The 7,737-nt window shown below is 38.4% G+C and overlaps 1 annotated feature.

Annotated features, from left to right (window-relative positions):
* Positions 4,193–4,836: an enhancer, noted in NCBI's record as "OCT4-NANOG-H3K27ac hESC enhancer chr4:116517558-116518201 (GRCh37/hg19 assembly coordinates)". NCBI's record gives its function as "activates a minimal SCP1, AML or CMV promoter by ChIP-STARR-seq in primed H9 embryonic stem cells {active_cell/tissue: H9 hESC(primed)}" and the evidence as "EXISTENCE:reporter gene assay evidence [ECO:0000049][PMID:30033119]".

A 7,737-nucleotide genomic window follows, 5' to 3' on the forward strand; every position in this document is an offset into this window, starting at 1 on the left:
AAATGAAATGATAATCTTCTATGGAAACTCTCACAGACACACCTGTTGCGGGAAGTCAGGGACCCCGAACAGAGGGACTGGCTGGAGCAGCAGCAGAGAAACATAAATTGTGAAGATTTCATGGACATTTACGAGTTCCCAAATAATACTCTTATAATTTCTTACACCTGTTTTACTTTAATCTCTTAATCCTATTATCTTTGTAAGCTGAGGATGTACGTCACCTGAGGTCCACTATTGTGTTAACTGTGGAAATTGATGGTAAAACGTGTGTTTGAACAATCTGAAATCAGTGCACCTTGAAAAAGAACAGAATAGCAGCGATTTTCAGGGAACAAGGGAAGACAACCATAAGGTCTGACTGCCTGCAGGGTTGGGCAGAATACAGCCACATTTTTCTTCTTTCAGAGAGCCTATAAACGGATGTGCAAGTAGGGAAGATATCGCTAAATTCTTCTCCTAGCAAGGAATATTAATATTAAGACCCTGGGAAAGGAATTGCATTCCGAGGGAGAATTCTATAAATGGCCGCTCTGGGAGTGTCTGACTTACACAGTTGAGATAAGGACTGAAATAACACCCTGGTCTCCTGCAGTACCCTCAGGCTTACTAGGATTAGAAAACCCCACCCTGGTAAATTTGAGGTCAGACTAGTTATCTGCTCTTGAACCCTGTTTTCTTTTAAAATGTTTATCAAGACAATATGTGCACAGCTGAACACAGACCCTTACCAGTAGTTCTGTTTTGCCCTTGGCCTGTTTCCTCAGAAGCATGTGATCTTTGTTCCCATTTTTGCCCTTTGAAGCATGTGATCTTGTGACCTACTCCCTGTTTGTGCACCCCCTCCCCTTTTGAAATCCTTATAAAACTTGCTGGCTTTAAGGCTCAGGTGGGCATCACGGTCCTACTGATATGTGATGTCACCCCTGGACGCCCAGCTGTAAAATTCCTGTCTTTGTACTCTTTCTCTTTCTCAGCCAGCCGACACTTACGGAAAATAGAAAGAACCTATGTTGAAATACTGGTGGCGGGTTCCCCTGATACACACCAGAAATAATGTTTAGTAAACTATCTGTGAATCCTGTGGCCCAGTCAAGTTGACATATAATTAAACATCACATTTGCCAATTTACGTTTGTTTTCACATACAGTAGATTCAGTCCTTATCTTGCAGTGTCCCCTATTAGCTACTTACTGGACAATTGCTTTCTTCTATAAATATTCTCTTACACTTTCTATGGCAACACAATTTCTATTTTTTTTCCTACTTTTCTAACCACTGTTTCCAGGCTGTTTTCCAGGCTTGTTCTTTTTCAAAATTCATCATGATTCATGTTATTTCAATCCAAACGAAAATAAAATAAAAATAAAACCAAAAATAAAGATAATAACTTAATAAAAATTTTAAAATTTAAACCAAAAAGAAACAAACTAATAAAACAATAAAACAGATATGCTTATCAAGCACTTATCGTTTGCCAGGATGATTGCTAAGTGACTTTACATGGCTTTTCCTATTTGAACTAGATAAGAACTTTATTAAGTCTCCACCTAAATTTGGAGATGATTGAACTGAAGACAGTGTATGACTAGTTCAAGGTGATGCAGCTCTTCTTTTTTTTTTTTCTCTCCTTCCATGTTATTTGTGATCTAAACCACTTCTATTATTTTAAATGGCATCTCTTGGTCATGACTTCCAAAATTTATGTCTCCTAGTCAAATTTCTCTATTACATGCAGCACATACATACAAGCATTTCTTTGCATACATAGTCAGATGCTTCTTATACATCTCTTAATGAAGATTTTCAAAACTAAACTCCTTTTCACTCCCATACTCCCACCGCCTTTCTCAAATATTCTACCTCTAAGTAGATGATCTAAATAGATGCAGTTACTCAAATTCAAAATCCTGGTGTGGGTACATTATTCTTACCTATCACATTAACAATATTCAATTTTTCAACAACTGGTGGTGGGTGTACAACATATATTGAGGACTCAGCTACTCACATCTATCTCAAATGTCAGCATCTTGGTCAAAACCACAACTATCACTCACCTAGATTTTTGGAAAAATCTACTAATTCCACACTGGCCCCATTGCCAATCTAGTCACATTTTGCACAGCAGCCAGAATGCTCTTTATGAAAGGAAAATAAGACTGTGTCATCTCCCTGATGAGCAATACTTAATACACTCAAGACAAACTATAGAAGTCAACATCTGGCCTGTGAGAAAGTGCATTATCTTTCTCCTACCCACTACTCCAGTATTATTTGGGCCATTTGTTTTCTTATTTATTTCTTTCTCTACAGTGTTTTGTATTTCTCTCTGTCTCTATCCCTCTCTCTTTCTTTAATTTACATAATTTTATTCTAAATGATATATAAATATAACTAATGCCTTTAATTTAAATAAATATTTAAAGTATACGCACACATATTTAGTCTTAGGGACTTTGCATGTACTCTCCCTCCACCTAAAATCATTTCACTCTATAATGTACCTGGTTTCTCCTAGTAATGTTAATGGTTTGAGCTTAATTCTGACTTTGCCAAAATCATTCTTCCCCAGTAATTCCACATATCCCTTTCCTCAGTCAAAATTAGAACCCTCCTCTCATATGTCCTCATAACATTCTGTCATTTTATTTTATAGTTAAGTATGTTTAGATGACTTATAAAAATAGACATCTGACTGGGTGCAGTGGCTCATGCCTGTAATCCCAGCACTTTAGGAGCCCAAGGCAGGTGGATCACCTGAGGTTGGGAGTTTGAGATCAGCCTGACCAACATGGAGAAACCCCATCTCTACTAAAAATACAAAGTTAGTCAGGCATGGTGGCACATGCCTGTAATCCCAGCTACTCAGGAGGCTGAAGCAGGAGAATCGCTTGAACCTGGGAGGTGGAGGTTGTGGTGAGCCAAGATCGCATCATTGTACTCCAGCCTGGGAAACAAGAATGAAACTCCGTCTAAAAAAAAAAAATAGACATATATGCTACAATTGTGCTAGATTTAGCCTCAATGATATGTCTGTAGCAGAATTAAAAAAAAAAAACAAAAAACAAAACCCAGGGGAAACCGGCCATAAGAAATTTGGCTTATTTTTAATTTCAAAATAGTGAAGTAACCAGATAACAATTATATTTTATAAAAATTATGTTGTATGAAATTTTTCTCTTCATAAAATACAAAGAACTTTTGTTAGTTTACTTTTTTAAAAAGTAATTTTTAGTTAAAAATCTTATTGCTCACAAAGTGACAGTGAGTATGTGATTATATATTACATGTATAAAATTTCAGTTTATTAGCAGTAATATTCTCATGGAAATTTACTTACGATAGGGACCAAGTATCCAGCAATGTCATCATTACAAAAGCTTTTTGAAACAATTTGGAGAAAATTAACTTTCTTAGTATTGCTCAAAACACCTAAAATCATAATTAATAAATTCTTACTCTCTATTATTATCTTTTTGAATAATAATTGGTCAAAGCAATCCTGTGACTGTAAAGATAGGAAAATAGCTTTGGTTAAACATTTTTAAAACACTTGAAATATGAGGCCTGATATGATTTAGATCTGAGTCACTGCTCAAATCTCATGTTCATTTGTAACTCCTAATGTTGGAGGTGGGGCCTGGTGGCAGGTGATTGAATCTTGAAGGTGGATCCTTCATAAATGGTTTAGCGCCATCCCTTTGGTTTTGTTCTCATGATAGATTTCTCATGAGACCTGGTTGTGGCAGCTCCTCCCTCAGTATCTCTTCCTCCTGCTGTGACCACATGAAGTGATTCCCCCTTTGCCTTCTGCCATGATTGGAAGTTTGCTGAGGCCTCTTCAGGAGCAGAAGCCACTATGCTTCCTCTACAGCCTGCAGAATCATGAGCCAATTAAACTTTTTTCTTTATATGCAAGAATAGCTAATACAGAAAATTGGTACCAAGGAGTGGGGCATTGCTATAAAGATACCTGAAAATGTGGAAGTGACTTTGGAACTGGGTAATGAGCAGAGGTTGGAAGATTGTGGAGGGCTCAGAAGAAGACAGGAAGATGAGGGAATGTTTGGAACTTCCTGAAGATTTGTTACATTGTTATAATCAAAATGCTGATAGTAACATGGACAATGAAGTCCAGGATGAGGAGGTCTCAGATAGAAATGAGGAACTGATTGGGAGGTTGAGCAAGGGTCATTTTTATTATGCATTAGCAAAGAGACTGGCGTCATTGTGCCCCCGCTCTAGGGAACTGTGGAATTTGACCTTGAGAGTGATGATACAGCGTATCTGGCAGAAGAAATTTCTAAGCAGCAAAGCATTCAGAGGTTCTTTAGAGGCATCTAACACTGTATGCTTATTTGCATGAGTATGGAAATGATGTAAAATTGGAACTTATATTTAAAAGGGAAGCAGAGCATACAAATTTGGAAAATTTACAGCCTGGCCAGCCAAGTGGTAGAAAAGAAAAACCCATTTTCTAGGGAGGAATTCAAGAAGACTGGAGAAATTTGCATAAGTAAAGAAGAGCCAAGTGCTAATATCCAAAACAATGGGGAAAAGTCCTCCAAGGCATTTCAGAGACCTTTGCAGAAGTTCCTCCCAATACAAGCACTGAAGCCTACAAGGATAAAATGGTTTCATGGGAGAGGCCTAGGGCCCTGCTGTCCTGCACAGCCTCAGGACACTGCTCCCTGTATTCTAGCTGCTCCAGTTCCAGCCATTACTCAAAAGGGTCCAGGTACAGCTTGAGCCACTGCTCCAGAAGATGCAAGCCATAAGCCTTGGTGGTTTCCACATGGTGTTAAGACTGCAGATGTGCAGAGTGCAAGAGCTGGGGCTTGGGAGCCTCTGACTAGATTTCAGAGGATGTATGGAAAAGCCTGGGTGTCCAGGCAGAAGCCTGCTGCAGGGCAAAGCCCTCATAAAGAACCTCTACTAGGGTAGTTGCAGAGGGGAAATGTAGAGTTGGAGCCTCTACACAAAGTTCCCACCAGGGCACAGCCTAGTGGAGCTGTGAGAAGGGATCCACCATCTTCCAGACTCCATAATGGTAGATACATTGACAGCTTTCACCCGTCACCTGGAAAAGCCACAGGAACTCAACTCTAGCCCATGAGAACAGCCATAGACCCTGAACCCTGAGAAACCACATGAGCAAAGCTGCCCAAGACTTTGGGAGCTGCCCAGGGCTGTGGGAGCTCACTCTTACATCAGCATGACCTGGATGTGAGACACAAAGTCATAGAAGACTATCTTGAAACTTTAAGGTTTAATGATTGCTCTATTGGATTTTGGACCTTCATGGGACTTGTAACCCCTTGGTTTTGGCCAATTTCTCCCATTTGGAATGGGTGTAGTTCATCAATGCCTGTATTCTCATTGTATTTAGGAAGTAACTAAGTTGCTTTGATTATACAGCTCATAGGGAGAAGGGACTTGCCTTGTCTCAGATTAAACTTTGAACTTGGATTTTTGGGCTAATGCTGAAATGAATTAAGACTTTAGGGGACTGCTGGGAAGACATGAATGTGTTTGAAATGTGAGTACATGAGATTTTGGAGAAGCCAGCATTGGAATGCTATGGTTTGGCTGAGTCCCCACCCAAATCTTATATTGAATTGTAATAATCCCCATGTTTCAAGGGCAGGACCAGGTGGAGATAATTGAATCATGAGGGAAGTTTCCCCTATACTGTTCTTATGATACTAAGTGAGTTCTCATGAGATCTGATAGTTTTATAAGGGGCTTCCCCCTTCACTCACACTCATTCTCTCTCCTGCCATCTGGTAAAGAGGTGCCTTCCACCAAGATTGTAAGTTTCCTGAGGCCTCTCCAGACATGTGGAACTGTGAGTCAATTAAATCTCTCTTCTTTGTAAATTACCCAGTCTCAGGTATTTCTTCACAGAAGTGTGAGAACAGACAAATACAGGAGCCCACTCCTTGCACCAGAGTGCCCTGGATGTGGGACAAATAAATGAGATTATTTGGAAGCTTTAAGATTTAATGACTGCCCTGCTGGACTTGCACAGGGCCTGTAGCCCCTTTCTTTTGGCTGATTTCTCCCTTTTGGAATGGAAGTATTTACCCAATGCTTGTGCTCCCTTTGTATCTTGGAAGTAATTAACTTGTTTTTGATTTTACAGGTTCATAGGCAGAAGTTACTTGCTTTGTCTCTGATGAAACTTTGGACTGTGGGCTGGAGTGAGTTAAGACTTTGGGGGACTGTTGGAAAGGCATCATTTTATTTTGAAATATGAGAAGGATGTAAGATTTGGGAGGGGCCAGGGGTGGGATGATATGGTTTGGATCTGTGTCCCCATCCAAATCTTACGTCAAACCATAATCACCAATGTTGGAGATGGGGCCTAGTGGGAGGTGATTTGATCATGGGGGTGGATCCTTTATGAATGGTTTACACCATTCCTTTGGTACTGTTCTCATGACAGAGTTCTCACTACATCTGGTTGTTTAAAAGTGTGTAGCACCTTTCCCTTACATCTCTCTCAGTCCTTCTCCTGCCATGTAAGATGGCCTGCTCCCACTTTGCCTTCTGCCATGAATAAAAGCTCTCTGAGGCCTCCCCAGAAACAGATGCTGTCATGCTTCTTGTATACCCTGTGGAATCATGAGCCAATTAAACCTCTTTTCTTTATAAATTACCCAGACTCAGGTATTTCTTAGCCATGCAGGTATTATAGCCATGCAAGAACAGACTAATACAAGACCATAATAAGTCTTGTGTCTCACAACTGTTACAATGTCTTAAAGGATTCAGACTTAATTTCTTACACATTTTAGTTTTTTAAACAATGCCTTTTTAATGTTTTGATGTAAGTGCTCCAATATGATATAATTCAAATACAATTTCTAGCCAAAAGAAATATCACAAGAGTCTGTTTTCACAGGTATATTTATTCACATATGCCATTAATCATCATTCTCTGGTAAGTAGGAGAACACTTGGATTCTTAAAAAAAGTCACAATAAAATTTTACTTTAATCATAAGCTGAACATATCTTTGGACCATATTTTATTAGAATTAGATTTACTCTTGGCTAAATTTTTGTTGTGTCCTTTCAAATCTGAGATTGCATGAATTAGAAAGCTGGAAAATCAATGAGCCTGTTTTGGTGTCAGCATAAACACATGATGGCATTTCCAAGAAGGGTCACACCTTGCTGAAAGAGAAGAAAATCAAAATTCCCAGAGCCATTCATCCTTTTAGGGTCTGTTATCCAATCAAATAAATGAGCTACTCTTATTTCATAAAAAACAACTTGCTTTTATTATTTGTGTTGTAAGAAGAAAAAACTGCCAAAAGCCAAATGAATGCTGTAACATACCTTACCCAAATCTGGTATTTAAATTCTTTGGAATACACAGCCAATAGTCATAGTACTAGGTCAGCCAAAAAATACTTCATGTGTAGAGGTAAGATTACAGATATTGACTTGAATTAATGGTATCTATAAAAGTATCTGTTTGGCTTTGTGATTATTGTCTCTAATCTACAAAAGTATTTTTATATTTTCTTTTCTAACTGCAATTTTGACATAAGTAACTATTTTATTGTAATAAATCATGTTGTTATAGCCTTAACATCTAATAAAATATTTAAACTTTACAAAATGCTTTCTGAAAAATAAAGGAGATAACATTTAATAGTATCTTATTTGTTTATCTTGGAAAAACAATGGCAACAACAGAAACATTTTACAAAATAAGAGATC

This window comes from Homo sapiens, chromosome 4 (genome assembly GCF_000001405.40).
Source record: "Homo sapiens chromosome 4, GRCh38.p14 Primary Assembly".
In the NCBI taxonomy this organism is placed as follows: Eukaryota; Metazoa; Chordata; class Mammalia; order Primates; family Hominidae; genus Homo; species Homo sapiens.